The sequence below is a fragment of the Homo sapiens genome, chromosome 1, assembly GCF_000001405.40.
Source record: "Homo sapiens chromosome 1, GRCh38.p14 Primary Assembly".
Classification (NCBI taxonomy): domain Eukaryota; kingdom Metazoa; phylum Chordata; class Mammalia; order Primates; family Hominidae; genus Homo; species Homo sapiens.
In genome coordinates, this window is record NC_000001.11 from 218316524 (window position 1) to 218338334 (window position 21811).

Genomic DNA, 21811 nt, shown 5'->3' on the forward strand with positions numbered 1-21811 from the left:
TGTGGGGATATATAACACATAGTACTAAAGCCACAGATTCTAGAACCAGACTGCCTGAGTTCAAAATGCCTGTTATATATAGTAGTAATAACAGTCCCTACCTCATAGGGATGTTGTGAGAGTCAATTAAGTTAATATACATAAAGCACTTAGAATGATGCTTAACACATAGTAAGTGCTGTATAAATGTTTGCAATAATTTTTATTTTCCATTGCATGCCATCAAAACGAGTTCCCTATATTGGTGCTTATTTTTTCTCTAAAAATTGTAGTCAAAGATGAATTCCAAAGTTGGAAACCAATTTGAAGGGGAACTCTTACTACTTTTTATCTGAATTATTGAATAATCCAAAAACCTTCCAATAATTTGATTAAAATTATGTTTAGATTTGGATATTCTCACTCACGTTAGGTGTGATGGCTCTAGTAATGCATAATTCTTAGAAAATATAAAACTAGATTTGAAGGAACTAGAAATGTGTCCACTTTCTCTTGTTCCCCATTTCCACTTATGGTTGAACTAACTGTATTACTTACAAGAATTTACTTATTAAGATAAGTTTGGTTTTTATGGGGGTGCTGTCATACTATTTGAATGTCATCATCTTTGTGAATAATGTGCAGAACATCATTAGAAGATCATACCTGTCCCAAGTTGGGGATTACGTGATACACAATGACTCGGCATCAGCAAGTAAGGATAGTGAGTAGAAGGACTGAGAGGGCACTTACTAGCGTATGCTTTGTGCCAGATGCTGTGGCAGATGTTTTTACGTAATTCCACTTCCAATAGAAAACTTCTCTTCCTTCTCTCACCCAGATGAGCTGGAAGAACTGTGGCTGGCTGATAAGCCACAGTGTCAGCAAGACTAGGAAGAGAATGGTGAAGGAAGCAGCTTGCATTCTGCTTTTTCCTAGGTCTCTCGTGCTGCTCATTTGATGTAAAGCATAATGAAGTCTGACACATTTTAAAATCTGATTTCTCAAAACTGTTATGTAAGATAAAATGTTAAACATAGTAAGATATTTTCAAGTTATGAAACTCATAAAACCAACTTAGAAAATTATTTATAAATTCAAGTTAGAATTGACTTTCTCTTCATTTGTCAAGGAATTAAAATTTACTAGAAATCAAATGCATCATGTATTTGATGATTGTGTGTCGAATACAGATTTTAGAATCTTCCCCCATGCCCCACACCCTTTTTTTTTTTTTTTTTTTTTAATTTAAAGACAGGGTCTTGGTGTGTCACTCAGGCTGGAATATAGTGGTGTGATCACAGCTCACTGCAGCCTCAACCTCCTGGGCTCAAGTGATCCTCCCTCCTCAGCCTCGCGAGTAGCTAGAGCCACAGGCACCATTAGGCCCGGTTGATTTAAAATTTTTTTTTCTAGAGATGGGGGTCTCATCATGTTGCCCAGGCTGATCTTGAATTCCTGGGCTCAAGTGATTCTTCTGCCTCAGCCTCCCAAAGTGCTGGGATTACAGGCGTGAACTCCCAGCTCTTTTATAAAAATTGTCAAACAAGAAGAAAATTACAAAGAATAGTAATATAACCACCTATATTTCTGTATTTCTACTTAGGTTTAAAAGTTGTTAACACTTACTGTGTTTGTGTTAATAGCTATCTGCCTTTCTCTCCATCTAGTTTTTGTTTGTTTAGGTTGATTATTTGAAAGTATTACCCCCATGTGCCCCGAAGATTCTCTTTTTTAAAAAAAAATCAGTTTTATTGAGGTATGATGTTCATATACCATACAATTAAAATTTTTTTATAACTTTTTGAGAATTAGAATTCAATTAAGTCTCACCTATTACATTTGATTCTGTCTTGTTCTCTTTTGTTCTAGACCAATCCCTTGTCTTTTTTTTTCTTTTAAAGACTAGCTTTTTAAAGAGACAAGCCAGTTGTCTTGAAGAATGAATAATGAATCCAGGCCAGTTGTCTTGAAGAATGAATAATGAATCCAGGTTTATGAATTTGTCTGATTACTTCATTATGGTGTCATTTATCTTGTTCTATGCCTTTTTCCTGTAAGCTAGAAGTTAGGACTACGGGCTTGCTGAGATTTAGGTTAAACTTTTTTTGCCATAATTACATCATATGTGTGACAGCTTATACTATGTACTTGCTATTGTAACACATCAGGAGACACATTATCAGAATGTTTCGTGCTAGTGATGCCAGTTTCCACTTGGTTAAAGTGATAATAAATACTTTTTTTTTTTTTATTAAAGGTGCACCCTCCCCACCTCCCAGTTAGAAAGTAATTTCTGGGACAAATAGTTTCACAGGAGCAAGTGTACCTGTCTCCATCTTTTGCCTTTTACCATCAATTAGTGATCCTTGCCTAAAACAGTTAAGTGACTTGAGGTTACAGAATGGTGATTTTCTCATTTGTTTTCTAATTTATTAGCTGACACTTTTCAAGAGATGAATTAAAGTTCCTAAAGATGGGGGTTGTTTCATCCCTTTTAATTATGGTCTTCCAGAGTAAGGAGTTTAATAGTCACCTCCAGTCTCTTCTTTTTTCTTTTGTCTTTTTTTTTTTGAGATGGAGTCTCATTCTTGTCACCCAGGCTGGAGTGCAATGGTGCAATCTCGGCTCGGCTCACTGCAACCTCCACCTCCCGGGTTCAAGTGGTTCTCCTACCTCAGCCTCCTGAGTAGCTGGGATTACAGGCGCCCGCCACGACGCTTAGCTAATTTTTGTATTTTTAGTAGAGATGGGGTTTCACCATGTTGGCCAGGCTAGTCTCAAACTCCTGACCTCAGGTGATCCACCCACCTCAGCCTCCCAAAGTTCTGGGATTACAGACGTGAGCCACTGTGCCCGGCTTGTTTGTCTTTTTAAAATGTCATGGACATAGGGATTTTTATTCAGTGTTTACAGTCAATGAGTGTCATTATACTTTTTGTTGCTTAAGTTTGCAAATGTGGCTGTGAGAACCTGTGTAAACTGGCTCATGTGTCCTTTTGGCATGACCTCATTTTCTTTGAGTGATTCCTTGCATTCTGGGACAGGATGTCCAGCCCAAACCTTGTGCTTTCTGTGTCCCAGACCTAGAATCACCTGTTTCTCCAAAGGGGTCTGATGGGACCAATCTATTTATTTCTAAATTGTTTGTTGAGTTCAGTAGATTTATAGTGTGCATATTCCTTACTAGATGCAGCTTTGTTTTGTTTATATAGCATTTCATAGTTTTGCAAAGCACTTTTACATATGTTTTCTTATGTAAGCTTTTTAGCAAATTTGTGATATCAGGAAGACGTTGGTATCTATTTTTCAGCTGAATTCACAGCTCTGCTAATTTTTTATAAATCTGGATTTTCATTTATATGCTATATAATATAGCAGATAAAATGTGCTTTAAGAGACTAATTGGCAGAGTGTATCTGAATATTTCAAACAACTAATTTACTATGAAAATGAATAGAGCACTGTCAAAAGGCTCCCTGAAGTGTTACATTTGACTTTTCAGGTACCTTAGGTTTTTTTTTTTTTTTACTATGTTTTATTTCTTTTTTTTTCTTTTATTTTATTATTATTATACTTTAAGTTTTAGGGTACATGTGCACAATGTGCAGGTTCGTTACATATGTATACATGTGCCACGCTGGTGTGCTGCACCCATTAACTCATCATTTAGCGTTAGATATATCTCCTAAAGCTATCCCTCCCCCTTCCCCCCACCCCACAACAGTCCCCAGAGTGTGATGTTCCCCTTCCTGTGTCCATGCGTTCTCACTGTTCAATTCCCACCTATGAGTGAGAACATGCGGTGTTTAGTTTTTTGTTCTTGCGATAGTTTACTGAGAATGATGATTTCCAGTTTCATCCATGTCCCTACAAAGGACATGAACTCATCATTTTTTATGGCTGCATAGTATTCCATGGTGTATATGTGCCACATTTTCTTGATCCAGTCTATCATTGTTGGACATTTGGCTTGGTCACCTTAGTTAACTTTAACTTACTTAGAGTTCTTAAGATAATTTAAATGTTGAGGAAAATCAATGTTGAATTAAGAACTAAATGTATGGATAACAAGATGTATAATAATAGAAACCACCAAATAGAACCGCTTTGAACAAGGACATATGTAGTGGGTACATATGTCCACATTTTGCCATAAACGTTTATTATAAAATCAAGTTGTTTTCCACCCCATTCTGCACACTCTTCATAGCTCCTATCTCAGGGGCCGTAAATGAAATTAAAACAAAACAAAAAAAAAATCAGTGGGCGAAAAAAATTGAATCCATAAAGTATGTTTTTAACTACAATTGCAAATAGCTTACTGAAAATTTTTAACAACAAAGATATTAAGATGAATTTAGTCAATGTTAAGAACTTTTTAAAATTTAGGTGAAACTGAGTTAAAATGAAAACTGAACTTTCTTGTTAGGGAAAGCAATGAAATCAACTATTGTTGATTACTAAATATAGATGAGACTATATTGTTTCTTTCTTTATGGTTTGATTTTAATTATCCCCCACCCCAGCAAATGAAATGAAGTTAACCATCTCATTGGTGTGAGATGAATGTGTAATTCCAAACCTTCTTTTTCAGTGTTCAGTGGCTGCCAATGTATGTTTGCGCTTTGAAATGAAAGCTGATTAACATTTTTAAGGGTTGTCTTCACCTTCAAAATGGACACAGACTGCTTCTGTATGGTTTCAATTCAATATTTGTATAAAACTAGGCCAAGGAAGGTGGGGACTGTTTGTTTCCTTGCATCATGCAGTTTTCGTTAAGTTCTTGCATTTAGTCACTTTTACTTTTCATTTGATATAAGCAGAAAGAGTTGTATAGGTTGCTTTAAGTCTTTGAATCAGTGCTGCCTTGCAGCAACACTGAAAGACTCCGTAAGTTGATAAAAGTTTGGTTATTTCAGTTTATACTTTACGATTTATATTACAGTTAGTTATGTTTAACAGCTAACACAGCTTCCATCTATGATAGTAAATACCTATGTCTAACATGTACAGTATGGTTAACTTTATCTTATAGCTATAACCAGTTAATAAAAAATAATAAATTTTTTATTTCTTTCAAGGCCTGTACCTCTAAAACTTTCTAATTTGCAGTACTGGAGTCAATGGCTTATCTAAGATTCAAATCCAGAACTCTCTTTTTATTCCTTTTATAAAAAGAATATACCAAATTGCTACTTCTCTTTTACAAACAAAACAAAAAACCCTTCATTCTCAGGATGTCTTAACATTTAATGAAATCTATTCAGGGATCACCCCAAGCAAGCTTTTCCGATGAATGACACATTTAGAATTTGCCTCAGGCTTTTTTTTTTCTTTTTTCTTATATTAATCTTTGATCTACCTTTTTTTTGTGTGGGTGCTCCAAGTATTTAAGAAGTTTTTATACTTAATGGTAAATCATATTTATGGAAAAGATATAGCAAATTGAAATTATGTCAATCCAGTGTGTAATGTAATTTACTCCAAATCTTTTATGGAAATTACCTTAAGCATATTCAGCATTTTGCATGTATTTTAGTCCTCATTCATAGGTTATAACAGGTTATATAAGAACACAGTATATTACTGTATTGTGTTCATATCATCAGTTAAGTTTTAGAGAAGTTTAGTGTTGTGGAAAGAACATGGGCTTTGGAATCAAATGGATCTGTGTTTGGGTATAGACTCAGCTCTTTATTAACTCTGAACTTGAATAATTACTTCACTTCTCTGAGCCTTAGTTTTCTTATAAGGTAAGCATGATACTTGCTATCTGGCCAGGAATCTTAAGAGAATTAGAAATAAGGCAATATTATATAAAGTGCTTGGCACACAATGAGTTCATAGTATACTTATTGTGTTTGACCCTTTTTCATTTATTGTTAGGAAGTAAAACAGAATCATCATTGTTAATAAAACTAGAAGGATTTCTTAGGATATTTTTGGGACGATCTTGGTAGAAAAAAGCTTGGGAAACTTAGGATTTGTGGAAATGGTTTAGGTGTACTTTTTTTTTTTTCTGTTTCTTGCTGTCCCTTTTTTTTTAAATTCTTTACTTATACATGTAGTTTAAAAAGCCACATTTTGCCATAAACGTTTATTATAAAATAAAGTTGTTTTCCACCCCATTCTGCCTACTCTTCATAGCTCCTATCTCAGGGGCAACTAATTCTTAATTCTCTAGCTAGTCCTGCTGGCATTTATACATCTCTGTATTCTTAATGTTACAGGATCCTTGGGTGTCGCTTCACCAGCTGGAAACCTCTGTGACCAGTGGTGCCTTTGCCTGTTTTGCTCGGTCCTATGGGCTCGTTTTGCCCACTCAGCCTGGCAGTCTGCGCTCGGCTCGTGCTACCAGCCTGGATCCCATGCCTGCCAAGAGCGAGGGATGTATGAGCGAGAGTGGGGTCCTGCCACTGAACACAGCCAGGCATGCCAGCTGCGGCAGGGTCCATAGCTCCCGGCAATGGCATGGGCGCCGGCTACTTGCGAGGCTGCAGCTGGACCAGGTGTACTGTAAGCAGCTTCCATGGCCGACACCAGGGAACGTCGTGGCGTTCTGGAAGCTTGGAGATGCCAGTAACTGCAGAGCCCTAAAGAGGTGTCACAGCCCTGGCTCAGGGAGCTCCTAGGTCTGGGCTTCCCGAAGGGCTGCAGCTCTTCTCTCCTTCTTCTTTCCTTGTCACCTGCAACGTGGTGAGCAAGGGACATATTTCAGCGCTGTTTGTGTTACACCTCTTTTAGCCCCGCCGTTCGGCAGGTCCCGAGTTCTTGTGCTGCATCCAGGAAGAATGAGGTACACAGACAAGTGGAGGATGAGCAAGATGAAGAGGAGCTTTATTGAGCGATAGAACAGAGGAGACCCTGGGGTGGATAGCTCCTCGCTGCAGCTGGTGGTCTTGTTGTCTCTGGGTCTGGCTGAGTTCGGGGCTTTTTATGGGCCTTAGAGGAGAGGAACTGAGTACCAATTGGTCCATGGGCTACCGTGGATGGGCCCAGAAAAAGCACTACAAGTTCCCACTCTGGTCCCCAGGACTGGCAGCCCGGTCCCCAGGCTTCGGGCCCTCCCTGGCCTGAAGGTGGGGCCTCACCGGGGACCCTCCCCCTTCTACCCAGAAGCCTGTCTGCTTCCTGCCACTGCTCATGGCGCCCAGACTGTTCTGGCCAAGGAGTGCCTGCAGGTCAATGCTGAGCTGCCCTTAGCCCCACCTCGGCCTCCCTCTCATGCTTGTTGGCACCCAAAGTCCGGAGGGGGCCAAGGGGGCAGGGGCCTGGCATGTCAGCGCTGCCCCCAGTGTGCGTATACCCAGCTGGGCTGTAACAGTGCCCGGGTTCCGCTCCAACCTTGCTCTGAGATCAGAGCGGGCACTGGGAGCGGGGAGAAACCGGGCAGTGGGAGAAGATACTTCCGAGCCTGCAGGGGCAGGGGGCGCCTTCCTGGCCCCCTCCACTCCAGAGTGCAGCCATACCTAGGTCTGCAGCCGGGACTTGGGTTGCTGCAGCTATTCCTGCGAGGGCGGGGCTTCTGCCTGCTCCCAACTCCCACCAGCTCTGTGGAGCCTGGCACCGTCCCAGGCCCAAGTCCTCCTCTTGGCCCCTCTCAGCCTGCCCCTCCGTGCCTGACTGTGCTGCTCCTTTGCTGGCGGGTGACTTAGTCTGGCCCCATCGCTGTGATTCCCAGGAGCGGGCCTGGGAACTGGTGCCTACTCCATGTTTTCCCTGCAGCAGCAGCTGCAGGGGAGGTGCAGGTGGCATGGCCCCTGCCAACCCCGCACAAATGAACCCGACGCTCTGGGGGCTGGCCCCTTGAGTCTTGCCTGCACCTTCGGCCGGGTACTCGCGGGTTCCCAAGACGCGGCCGGCAGTGAGGTTGAGGCCATGGCAGAGGCTCCGGGCCTGGGAGTGGGTCCTGCCTGCCTGTGTGAGCGTGGGTGTGACACAATTATCTGCCTCAGGGACGCGGGGCACAAGGGTTCCAGCGCCGCCACTGCTGCTTCCGCTCCTGCTACCACCGCCTGCACCTCCCTGCTGCAACTGGTGTGATGGCAGCAGCCACTCCGGATGGTCGGCCACTGCCATCACTAACTCATGTGCATATGTGTAGTCGTATCTTTTGATTAATCAGTTTGAGGCATTATCTATTAGTTTTCTGTTTTAGTAGGCAAAGATTTAATTATCTTACACAGTCTCTTCTCCTTTGGCCACTCAATGTAGTTTACAATTATAGTTGTCAGTATTCAGCATTTCTTATTCGTGTGAAAAAATTATTTACAGCTGAATGTTGTAATATTCCATATTTATATGTTTCCTTTCTATTTTTCCTGAAGTTAATCATTGTCTTGACTTTTCATATTTAATTTCCTTTATTAATTTAGTTTTTTGAAGTCAAATGATCTGAAGTGATGTATCTATTTTAATTATTTTCTCTGAGATATTCTTTCCTAGAGGCCTCTATTTTCCTTTGTATCCCCTGATTGCTTTCTTGGGTTGCTTCACTCTTGTCATCTGGGACTTAAATTTTCTTTGATCCTTGGAATTTCTTCTGGATTGAATTCCCTATGTCTGGGTTCTTGGATCTTCCTTTTTTTCTTGGTTCACTCTCACTCTTTTGGTAAAGCATATTCTCCAGCGGTTTTGTCAAGTTAAAATAACATACAGTGACAGATGTCATGGTGATGACCGCTTTCAGCATGCCGTCCCACGGAGTCACTTGGCTGCAGGTTGTCCTTCATGCGTGATGTGTAGTTGTTATTTTGGAATCTCCATTCATTCTCATCCTGGCTGTTTCCTTCTTTTTCCTTTGGTGGGACTCCTATTTTCTCTATCCCATGTTTTCTTCTTTTTGTTTTACTCCATCTGTTTATGGAGAACATCCTCAGTGTCCTGAGAAAGGCTGCATTGGAAGTAAACTTTTGGGGACCTCGTATGTCTGAAAATACCTCTGTTCAGTATTCACATTTCAATAATAATGTGTCTCAATATTGAATTTTAGGTTGGATATTATTTTCCTTTGACATTTTGAAAGTATTTGTCTATTGCTTCCTTGCTTTCCAATATTGCTACTGGAAAATCTGAATCTTTCGATTTCTGATTATTGGTATGCATGTGACTTTTGTTTTCCTGGAAGCTTATGGGATATTCTTTTAGTTCCTGTTGTCCTGAAGTTTTACAATAATATTCTCATTGTGTCCTGGACACTCGAGGGCTGGTTTTAATCTGGAAATGTGTGTCCTTCACTGGGAAATTTTGTTAAAGTATTTTATTAATTTCCTCCTGTACATTTTTTCTCTGTCTGTAGAACTCCTATTATTTGCATACTGGGCCTCTTGGACTGGTTCTCCAGTTATCTTTTTCTTCCATTTTTCATCTCTTTTCTTTTAGTCTATTTTCTGGGCAATTTCCTCAGCGTTATCTTCTGACTTTTATAATGTGGTTTTTTGTTTTGTTTCTTCCACCATATTTTTAATTTTAAGCTCTTTGTTATTCTCCTAATGTTTCTTTTAAAATAGCAACTGTTGGCCGAGTGTGGTGGTTCAGGCCTGTAATCTTAGCACTTTGGGAGGCCAAGGTGGGTGGATCACGTGAAGTCAGTAGTTTGAGACCAGTTTGGCCAACATGGTGAAACCCCATCTTTACTAAAAATACAAAAAATTAGCTGGGCGTGGTGGCAGGTGCCTGTAATCCCAGCTACTCGGGAGGCTGAGGCAGGATAATCGGTTGAACCCAAGAGGTGGAGGTTGCAGTGAGCCAAGAATGCACCATTGCACTCCAGCCTAGGCAACAAGAGTGAAACTTCATCTCAAAAATAATAAATAAACAAGGTGAAATCAAATAACAACTGTTCTGATTTTATGGATGCAATATATTTTAACTCTTTGAGGATGTTGATGATATTTTTCCCTAAATTTTTTTCTCTTGAGATTTTTGTTCCTACAAGTCGTTTTTTAAATTTTGTGTTTGCATTGTTCTCTTCTTTCTGATAATCCTTAGTTGTGTGTTCATGATTAGAACAAATAGACCAAAAAATTCAACTGGAAGCTATGAATATATGGGTGTCATCCACCTTAAATTTCACTGTAGGGTTCTCTGGGTGAATTTATTAGCAACTTGTCAGGTTTTCAATAAAGTAACTCTTCCAGTCTCCTACTTAGAAGAAAAAGGTCTGCGTACCAGCATTTTGGGAGCCCAGTGTGAGAAGAGAGCTGGGATTCAATATCTGGTTGCTGTGTGTGTGTGTAACTTAATCCCATTTTTGGTTCTATACCTATGCTTTCATCTGTGCAAGCCCATTACCTCTTCAGAATTTAAACCTCCAGGTATTATGCCAGGTTATTGTGGAATGGGATGGGGAAGTAGAGCACTAAATGTTTCTCAAAGCATACCTTTCACCCCAGTGCTTTTTATTTTGGTTCTTCCACTTCAACCCTTAACTTCCAGAAGTCCCTGATACATACTGCCAGTTTCTGTTTCTTTTGCAGATTCTGCAGTGTAAATAGGGTTGGTTTTGTCAGTGTGATAGTTGCAGTCTTAGGATTTAACTTTCCTGGTGTCTTCTGGTCCATCTCCTTCACCTTCAAAATTGTGTTGATATTGTCTTTTCTGATCTTGACCTTCTGAGTTATGTCTTTAAAACAACAAATCACTTTTCTGTAGTTTTATTGAATATAGCAGTTGAGCAAGACTAGTTGTTTATGTTCAAACTGCCACTTTAGCATGGGCCCTCTGCCTTTTTTCTTTCTACGTGTGTCTTTAGCAAATGTAGGGATTAGAATTTAAAGAGTCATTCTGCTGCCTTTAAAACAAGGTTTTCTTTATTTTTTTGAGACAGAGTCTTACTCCGTCGCTCAGGCTGGAGTGCAGTGGTGTGATCTCGGCTCACTGCAACCTCCTCCTCCTAAGTGATTCTCCCTCCTTAGCTTCCCCAGTAGCTGGGATTATAAGCCTGTGCTATCATGCGTAGGCTATTTTTTGTATTTTTAATAGAAGCGGGGTTTCACCATGTTGGCCAGGCTGGTCTGAAACTCCTGACCTCAAGTGATCTGCCCGCCTCAGCCTCCCAAACTCCTGGGATTACAGGTGTGAGCCACCACGCCTGGCCTTAAACAAGGTTTTCTTGAGCTGCCATCTTGACAGATGCCATCTAACATACCTGTTTTTAAAATGTGTTAACAACACTTGTTTTTATAAATTTTCTATTGTGTCTTTTTTTTCCAAATTGTTGCTTCACAGTGTAAAAATGCTACTGTAATGATTAGCTTGAATGATGTCCATACTTAAGGCATACAGTGCTGAATTTTACATTAGATTTACAAAATCGAATATTAGATTTTCTAAAATCTTTCCCTCTCAGCCATAAAGTGTACTTGGTCTTATAGCAGTGAACAAAAACCATCACTAAGAAAAAATGTTTGTTTATGTAAAGCAAATAAATAATTATCTTTAACATGCACCGGAATCACTGACTGGCTTATAAAAACAGATTGCTAGGCCCCATGCCTGGAGTTTCTGATTTAACAGGCCTCGAGATTTTGAATTGCTAATAACATATTTTCAAGTTATGCAGATAATGCTGCTGGTGTAAAGATCACACTTTAAGAATCACTGATACAGACTATATTGATCCTTGAAACCAAGAAACAAAAACATCACCAAAATCCCCCTGTAAAGCTCTTCCTGTTATTCTTTACGTTGGACAATTGAGTAAAACGTTGTACTTAGTCTGTTGTTGCTCTTCTTGCCTAAAATACATGTTTACAGCAATCATCTTTCAAGACAAGCATGCAATATAGTTGGTGTCACCATTTTAATTAGTGAATTCCTTCCTTTGGTCTACTATTGTTCCTTTCTTTCTGAAATACACGTTTAAAGTTTTGTGGGCTGGGCACGGTGGCTCACGCCTGTAATCTCAGCACTTTGGGAGGCCAAGGCGGGCAGATCATGAAGTCAGGAGATTGAGACCATCCTGGCTAACATGGTGAAACCCCATCTCTACTAAAAATACAAAAAGATAAGCCAGGCATGGTGGCAGGTGCCTATAGTCCCAGCTACTCGGGAGGCTGAGGCAGGAGAATGGCGTGAACCCGGGAGGCGGAGCTTGCAGTGAGCCGAGATTGCGCCACTGCACTCCAGCCTGGGCGACAGAGCGAGACTCCGTCTCAAAAAAAAAAAAAATTTTTTTTTCCATGTTCCCTTTTCTTCTTCGTTCTTCTGTTGCCTGCGGGTTTTCTGATGCTACCTAGGAGAGGAGTAGAGGAGTAGCTCAGTCCAACTAGAGGTTGGTTGTCAGGGTGAGCTCTCTTGTAGAAACACTCTGTGTTGAGTCAGTCACATGGGATCAGTGTGCTCTTTCGGTAACGTGTTGATGGCATATTGGGTGTACTTGCCTAACATAGAGGCTTCACACTGAGATTGTACTTGTTCATATGTAAACTCAAATATCAAAGGCAGGATAGGTCTTTGCTAGTCAGCAATTTTGATATGGCTATACACTTTTCCGAATTTAATTGAAAGCTTTGAATTCTTACTTTGACAGGAGAGGTGTTATAATTGTTGGTTCTAAGTGGATTTTTGTTCACTGTGAACATCAGTTTTTTATTTAAAGAAAACCTGGGTTGGCTGGGTGTGGTGGCTCTTGCCTATAATCCCAGCACTTTGGGAAGCCAAGGCAGGTGGATTGCTTGAGCCCAGGAGCTCGAAACCAGCCTGGACCACATGGCAAAACCCTGTCTCTACAAAAAAAAAAAAAAAAAAAAAAAAAAAAAAAAATTAGCCAGGCATGATGGTGTGCACCTGTAGTCCCAGCTACTCTGGAGGCTGAGGTGGGAGGATCACTTGAGCCTGGGAGGTCGAGGCTTCTGTGAGCCATGATAACGCCACTGCACTCCAGCCTGGGTGACAGAGTGAAAATCAGGGAAAATGGCCTTTTATCCAGCTAGCTAACAATCTAATAGAAGTAGAATTTCAGTTTTAAGAGTAGGTTTGATATTGTAGAAATAAATGAAAAGTTGTTAATATACTCCAGTTATCTTCCTACGTTATTGTTCTCCTATCAGTGTGACGTGAGAAGCATTGGAACTGTTTTATGTTGGTTTTTAAATAGCACAGATGTTTTTTATTTATTTCTGTATGTTGGGTAAATTATAGTAAAAAGTGTGCTGATGTTTGATATACGAAGTCAGTTCTGAAATCTTTGCTTACATTTATATCCCATTCAGTCTTCAAGTTATATTTAAGCACAAGCTCTGCTTGATATTTTGACCTCAAGAAGACAAGAGTGAGCCAATAGGACAGTTTTCCTATTTGCTTGTAATAGTGGTCAATTTTTTTTTTTTTAAATGGAATGAATGTTTCAGGGCTATCTTTTTTTAAATAAAGGGAAGCTATAGCAGTTAGGTAAGTAATCTCTTGTAACCCAGCAAATATCTTTAATATATATTATATTTTAAACTGTTTTTATGTAGTTAATGACAGCATAATGATAACACTGTTTTCTAACCAAATGTCATGGGTTCTTGTACCTTAGGTTTTTACAAAATTTTGTATTTCTGTGATTGACATAAATAGATATGCATAGACTGTTAGCCCCCTGAAAACAGGAACTTCGTTTTGTTCATCACTATGTTTCTAACATAGTGCTTGATACACAGCTAATTCTCAATAAATATTTGTGGAAGGAATGAAAAATTTTGAGTGCTGCATCTATTGTATTACTTAATTGATACCACAAGGTGGTACTGTTGTACCATGAAATGAAAGGCTGTAATTAGTACCACATAAATCCTGTGACTAAATGAAACGAATTGACTACCTATTATGTTTATTGCCTGCTTCATTTATTTATAATTTCAACATACGATTAGTCTTTGATTACATGATTGGGTCAGGCAGTGAGCTCATAACCTAAATAAAGAACATTTGGTTCAAATTTTTATAAAAACATTAAGTGAGATGGCATCTTAAAAAACCTAGCATAGTACCAATGTAGTTTCTTTTTCCCACTTTTAATTTACTTTGGGTTAAATGCCTTTGTTAAATTGTCAGTTGCGGTGAAATAATTTGCCCAAAATTTTCTAGTAAATTATCACTGAAGGTTAAATAGTATTGTAAGTCTGTTTTTTGTTGTCAGAAGTGCTTAAAAAATTAATACCAAACCTAGATTTATATTTTTTCCCTCACTTCAAAAAAATTTTTTTATTTTGCTTTCATGTTTCTTTTATGGAGTCCATACAATATTTTATTAATGTTTAGTTCTTTATTATACATTTGTACATATATAATCATAGTATAATCATAGTGTATAAAGTAAGTCGATTTATAATTTCTCTTGGTTTTACCCCTATTTTAAAAACTAAGCATTGAAAAGTTTGTTTTGTAGCTTGTACCTTTTTGTTTCCTTATGATGGAATTGACTTTTGAATATTTTGATTCTATAATTTTCCTTAGACTGAAGTGAAATCAGAAGAAGGCCCAGGTTGGACGATCCTACGTGATGATTTCATGATGGGAGCATCTATGAAAGACTGGGACAAGGAAAGTGATGGGCCAGATGACAGCAGACCAGAATCTGCAAGTGACTCTGATACATAAAGCATCATAGGAAATACAATTGCAGTCGTTTTATTTTTTCTAGAAAAATATGTCATCCTCTGATAGTTGGGGAATTATAAGGATACCATTTGTAAGAAAGCCAAAAGACTTTTGCCAGATTTCATATTTCCCCTTTTCATGTACACTTTATATATACTTCATTAAAATTATATTTTAAACCCTTGTATAATTTTAAGCATTGTTCCTCAGAACATTTGTAAAAGGATATATTTCTGCTTGACCAGCGAGATGTGCATTTTGCCAGGATCATATTGGTCATGTCTATTGGTGTATTATTTCAGTATCACCAATGTTTTCAGAAATACAGTACTAATTCATCATTAAACTCTTTGAAGTTAATATTTTTCTGCCTTCTAACTTATAGACTCAACTATGTATCTGTAGTTTTTGGGAATGGTTGGTGTTTTTTGCTTTGTGTTGGGAAGTTATTGAGAAAACCTATATAATAAAATTTAAAATTATAGTTTTTCAGATTTTGGGTCGTGATTTTAGTTTTAGGTAATCTGGAAGATATGATTTAAGAAACAACAGATTTCAACTTTTTTTTTTTTTTTTTTTTTTTTTTTTTTTTTTTTTTTGAGACGGAGTCTTGCTCTGTGGCCCCGGATGGAATGCAGTGGCGTGATCTCGGCTCACTGCAAGCACCGCCTCCCAGGTTCACGCCATTCTCCCACCTCAACCTCTCAAGTAGCTGGGACTACAGGTGCCTGCCACCACGCCCAGCTAATTTTTTGTTTTTGTATTTTTAGTAGAGACGGGGTTTCACCATGTTAGCCAGGATGGTCTCAATCTCCTGACCTCGTGATCCACCCGCCTCGGCCTCCCAAAGTGCTGGGATTACAGGCGTGAGCCACTGCGCCCGGCCCAGATTTCAACTTTTATTTTATTTCCTTTCATTTATTAAATAATATAAATAATGACAGATTTATTTTAGGTGTTAGCCTATTTTTGCATGAGAGATTTACAGAGGTGGAAATTCTCATGCTTAACTTATGCAATGAGACAATTTCTCAGGAAGCAAGTTTGACATGCTTTAGTCTCTCTCTTCTTTTTTTTCCTCCCAAATATTTGAGTTAGCTTAAATTCTTTTTTATGGACTGCCCAACCAGTGAATTGATGCACTTAGACAACAAGTAATCTGCAGCAGAATATTGCATCCAATTTGAGACTTGATTCCATATTATTGCCTTAAAGGCTATTAAATTGGGTGACTTTTAGTATCCAGCTGTTAAAAAGAGGAAAGACTGTTTAATATCATTCCAAAATTTTTGTGAAATGTGGCCCAAGATCTAAAGTTTTTAAGGGAATTATTTTTAATAAATATGATCTGTCCCTTTTTGAAAAGGATCCATCCCTTTTCATAATAAAAATAATTCCCTCCTACCACCCAGTTGCACATACTTGCATCTGTTATGTATTGAAGGATAATCCCCCCCAAAAAAACTATCCAAGAGCAGAGATGTTTATATTTTGAAACCCATTTGAGTGTTACAGTATTATATGACTAAAGCTGAATCAGTCTGTGGCCTGGTATTTGTTATCATAAAGGAAGATGTACACCTAAGGTATCAAGTGGTTAAAACAGCAAAGTACAAGATGCATTTTTGTATTTATTCTAACTTTTGAACATTAGTGTCTTTCAGTATAAATAAATGTGAACAAATATACCTCAGTAGTAATACAGGAGAACTAAATATCCTGCTATAACTTAATACAGATACATATTTCAATATGACTTAACAAACACACAATTTTGAAAAAAAAAAAAAAAAAGTGCAGCAACTTAAACACATTTTTCTCCCCAGAACTAAGATTACACTTAATTTAATTTAATGTGTTTCTGCGTTATACTAGAGTTTTGCAGGAATTTTTCTGAATAGTACATTCACATGATAGATACGGATAAATACCTTATTTACTAAAATGTTTTGAAACATATTTTATAGTCCCTCATTTGATTTGAAAAAATTTGACAAGATCTTCACATTGAAAGTAAGGACGAGAATATTTGCAGATTTCCTTCGTTCCAAAATTATTTTATTCCAAAGAAAAATTGAGTTGCCACTATCAGGAAAAAAAAAATGTATCACTTCTGTTAGAAGGCTATGAAGTATATATAAATTATATGACAATTTTTATCATATAGATTTGATATCTTCTATGTATTCGTATTTTTGCATCTTGGGTATTAAGCAAAATACCATATGTATAAATATGAAACCAGGAATGTGCATATTTTAGAAACTAATTGTGTATCTTAAGTGAATGTTTTGAGTAGTTCTGTCACCCCTATTCTAAATATTTTACCTACAACATTTAAATTATTCTGATATCAATCAGATAAATAATCCGAGTGTATTTCATCTTTCTACATTGTCTTTGTGGTTTTTGTTTGTTTGTTTTTGAGACGGTCTCACACTGTCACCCAGGCTGGAGTGCAGTGGTGCAATCTCAGCTCACTGCAACCTCCACCTCCCAGGTTCCAGCTATCCTCCCACCTCAGCCTCCCAAGTAGCTAGGACTACAGGTGTGCACCACCATGCCCAGCTAATTTTTTGTCTTTTTGATGTAGATGGGGTTACCCCATGTTGCCCAGGCTGGTTGTGAACTCCTGAGCTCAAGGGATCCCCCCGCCTCTTGCCTCCCAAAGTGCTTGGATTACAGGTGTGAGCCACCATACCACCTGTCTTTGAATTTTTTAACGAGGGGAAAGAAAACTGCAATTCCTGCCTCCCCATTTATTTAAACATAACACCTAGGATTTTATTTTTGGTAACTACTTAGAATAATATAGTAGGTTACTTATCTTCGGTTAGAAAGAACTATGGAAAATAGGAACCAATAATTTGGAAGTATTATTTCCTTATTTCATATATAGAAATAATTATCTTATTTCCTTATTTCATATATAGAATATTCTAGATACTTGGATGGCTGGGGTTGATGTTCTTAGTATTTATCATAGTTTAGCATTGGTTGTTATTTTTAAGCATCAGAATTTGAAAGCCAATGATAATACCTGATTAGGACTGAAAATAGAATTATCTTAGTAGTTTAGCACTTTTTATAATGGAGTTGGAGCACTGAATTTATTTTCAAATTACCTAGAATTCTGCATTGCTCAAACATTATTCAATTGATTGCAAAATATACCTTGGAAACCCTTTGGATAGAACAGTTCAGAGGGTTACCACTAGTACTTAGAGCCTAAAGTCACTCAGTAGGAGGTTCTCAAAGGTCTATTTGAAGGCAATCCAATTTCTTTAAAATAAAATATTTTTTGCCTTTTAAAACAGATGGGTGAAGAAAGGGACGTATAAATTCTGGGAAACCTCTTATGTTTTCCTCCCATTTCCTTCTATGTCTCCATTAATGTGCTAACTTGAAGGAATTTAACTTCAAGGAAAGTTGACTGATGAAGTTTATGTAGAGCTGTGAATATTATAATTTGTCAATACTTTATTGATAATGTTAACTTTGTTTTTATTTGGAAACATTTTTTCCAGTTGACCAAAGCAGAATTCATTCTGTTCTTCCCTCAAATTCATCTATTAGGATCAATGTGATTGACATTTATCTCCACTCTGCATGTCACTGATATGGTATAGACGCTATAAGCCCTGTAGATATTATGGGTATGAAGACTATTTGAGGTGAATTGGCAGTGAGAGCAAATTTTGGAAACAGGAGAGAGAACTACTTCGTGCCTATAAAAAGCTCTCTCACTCCTTCCCCAAGAAAACAGGAGTCTGAATTTTGGCCAGCTGGGTATTTGAATCTTACTGACTGTTGCAGCACTGGTAGTCCTGGTAAATTTTTTCAGTGGGCGAGCTTTTCTGAAATTTGATTAAACATATTAGTCAAGGGAATCTGTGAATAGATTTAGAAGTAGAATGTTTGAGGTGGTTGACAAGACATTTAGAATTGTGATTAATGTTTTAATAAAATGCTAAGTTAGAATGAATAATCATAATTATATAGATGGAAGATATATTCTAACAGTTCTTAAATAATTTTAGATTCTCTAAATTTAGAGTGTTTTCTAGCTTAGAGAGCAATATTAATATTTTTTACCTAGTCTACTGAACATAATTTCAGGGAGTTAGTATTTAGGACTTTTTACCTAGAGATGCGGTAAACCTTTTAAATTTAAATTTGCTTTCTTAAAATACCTGTTCCAACATTGCTCACCTTTCTTCTCCCTCCTTTTTGCCCTCTCCTTCAGTGGGAGGAGCACATATTCAGCTTTCTGTTAAACACTCTTTGGTTTTCAACTGAGTAAGGCAAGCAAGGATATATGTTAGAAGAGTGGGCATAATACTTTATATTAAAATTATAGGGACTAAAAGTCTAAATCATTGCTGTCAATAGGACTTTTTTTGATGATGGAAATAATTTATGTCTGTGCTGTTCAATATGGTAGCCACTCGCAGAGGTGACTACTGAGCATTTCACGTGTGGCTTGTGATACAGAGGAACTAAATTTTTAATTTTACTTAATTACTTTAAATTTTAAAAGTTACACGTGGCTAGTGGGTCTATCCCAACTATGAAGAGAATAAAGCTACAGAGCATCTATCTAGTCTAATGAAACAACAGTGAATTTGGGAATTGTAAATCTGTCTTAAGCTTTTTCCATAAACTTTTATTGATATAATTTAGGCATATACAAATACTGGTGAAATTTTATTGATTGAATTATTGTTGACTTTTTTTTCAGTATTTATATTTTTAAAAAGATATGTTTCTTTATAATTAACTTGTATTGTAGGGTAACCATTGTCCTTAAATGTTAAGCCACTTAGTTAATAACAAATAGCATTTGGTTTTTTAGCATTATTTATCATCTGAGGCTTTCAGAATTAATGCACCAAACCTTAAATATTTTTGTTGTTCTCTAAAAGAATGGGTTTATGATGCACCAAAAGGACATTTTGAGAACTGCCGGAGCAACAGATACCACCATGTAAGGAGTGAATTCCCATGTTTTTCACTTATATCTAGAGGCCTACTTATTTAGGAGGTTTCCTAAGTAAGTGTATTTAGTTGTAGGACCTTAGAGTTGCCTAGGTCCATTCTATTCTAGCATATACTCAACATACTGCCAGAGCAAATGTAGGTTGCAGATTCAGGCAAAACACACACACACACACACACAAAACCCTGAAGAGCACAATGAGCATTATTAGCACAGCCAATTTAAAATGATGAGGTGTTAACCACATTTGTATAAATAATAGTTTCTCTAACCCTGAATCATTATCCTGCATTTTTAATGCAATCGGTTCATAAACATCAAAGTGAAAACACCAAATTTGTAAGAGGTCAGGACCAACTGGGGCTCTAAATGGAGAGACAGCTGAGAGCTGTGTCCCTATGCGTGGGTGGCCTTGCAGCTGTTGATTCACCCTCAGGCTACCAGACAGTTGCCTCTTTGCATTTGCAGAACCAGACTTCAATCTTAGGTAAAAATGTATCCCTCCCATGGACAGGACATAAACAATAGATTGACATCAGCTCTGAAAACAGTGCAGCAGCCAGACTCAGCAGTTGCCCTGAAATACTGAGAAGTACCAAGCATAACATCAAGACTGTTTCTACACAATAATATTTGTCTTTGTACAGCAACACTGGGTTCTCTTAAGTATATTATAAATATAAAAGCTCAAAGTCCAAAAGGTTCAATGTGATGATATCCTTCTCTACAAATGCCAGGAACACCAGGGTAGATTGCATGAGACATGACTGCCGTATCTTGGTCCTTACTAGGATTCCCAAATATACTCCTTAATAACCAGTAAAGTTATATTTACACTGGACATTTTAAGAAATACCAGTGTTCGTTGTTAGATGAGAGACAGCATAATTTTGGAATCACAACTGAGTTCAGAGTTCAGTTTTGAGTCCTACTAGTTTTGTTTCCTTGTGTAAGTTTCTTAACCTTTGTAAGGCTAGCATGTAAATCAGATACAATAATATATAGTTCAGGGTGTAAAGATTGGATTAATGTATGCAGTGTCTATCTAGCACAGTGCCTGTTATGTAGTAGCGTGTCAAGAGATGTTCTCTCTTATGCATTTGGAGGATTAGGTGCTGCACCTATAGGTTTCCATTCATTTCTCATCTATGTAATTCTGAGTCTTCCTTTTCTAGATAGAATTCCCCCCAACAAAAATTTAAAGTCTAACAGGTGGTAGGTGCTTATTGAGGCCCAGCAATTCTACTTCTGGAAACCTTCCTCAGGAAAAGATTCTGATGACAGAAAATGCTGTGTGAACAGTATTATATAGAATTGTTTTTAATAGCAAGAAATTTTTTAAAACTTACAAGTTCAGTGATATGAGGACATTTACATAAACTATCGAACCACCAGTCTTCTGTCAATTCCTTTTAAAATGATGGTTGTGAAGACTGATGAAAACACAGTGTCAATGATATGTTAACTGAAAAAGTAAGATTAAAAACATTATGGATAGTATAAGTTTCTTAAATGCCAACAATGCATGAGGTGAATAGAATAAGACTTTTTTTTAAAGAATGTAATTTTTGACAGTCTGAAAAGACAGGCCTTATATTTATATTGAGAAAAATGATCCTGACATTTAATGAGACACTAAAACAGTTTTTATTTTTTGCTTACTTATTCTGTTCTAGAATCCAAACTCTACATACTGTTTAATAGAGCATTATTGATATTAGCTGTATTAGATGACTGTATGAAGAGTCCTGTTTGCTAGAATCCTACTTTATCTTTTAAGTTTTGCTAATTACCCTGCAATGAATGTTGAACATAAAAAATTTGACTCCCTTTCCATGTGTCCACTGTTTCCTTGTGCCTTTTGATTAATAAAACTTTATTTTTAAGTGAGAACCTCTGTTTTCTTGATTTTTAAAAAAAGCCATTGCTATTTTGTTTTTAACCATCCTATTTTGCATAGTTCTATCACTTATTCAAGTAAAAGTTGGAACAGAACATGTAATAATAATAGCAAACATTTAAACAATATTGATTTTATGCCAGACAATATTTAAGGGTTTCATAATGCCCCTTAATTCATACCCTTTTCCTTATAACCCTGTTAGGTAGATGTTGTTATTGTCCCCATTATACAGATGAGGAAACAAGCAGTAAGTTTCAGTAACCTGCCCAAGGCCACACAGATAGTATAGTCCAATCCAGGTTTGAGTTACAGAGCTGCTATACACAATAGTGATTGCTCAC

The 21811-nt window shown here is 37.6% G+C and overlaps 1 protein-coding gene across 4 annotated transcripts in view; it reads left to right on the forward strand.

The window, feature by feature from the left end:
• RRP15 (ribosomal RNA processing 15 homolog) overlaps positions 1-21460 on the forward strand; it is a 52691-nt gene extending 31231 nt beyond the window's left edge. For 2 of the 4 annotated variants that reach the window (XM_047421798.1, NM_016052.4), the window contains exon 5: positions 14425-21460. In XM_047421798.1, the coding sequence (XP_047277754.1) occupies positions 14425-14568 (144 nt within the window). In that variant the 3' untranslated portion in view covers positions 14569-21460. Of the gene's footprint in view, positions 1-6212; positions 11432-14424 lie in introns of those variants that run through there. The other 2 variants (XM_047421797.1, XM_011509597.4) reach the window with 1 other exon arrangement.
• Positions 21461-21811: the final 351 nt, after the last annotated feature.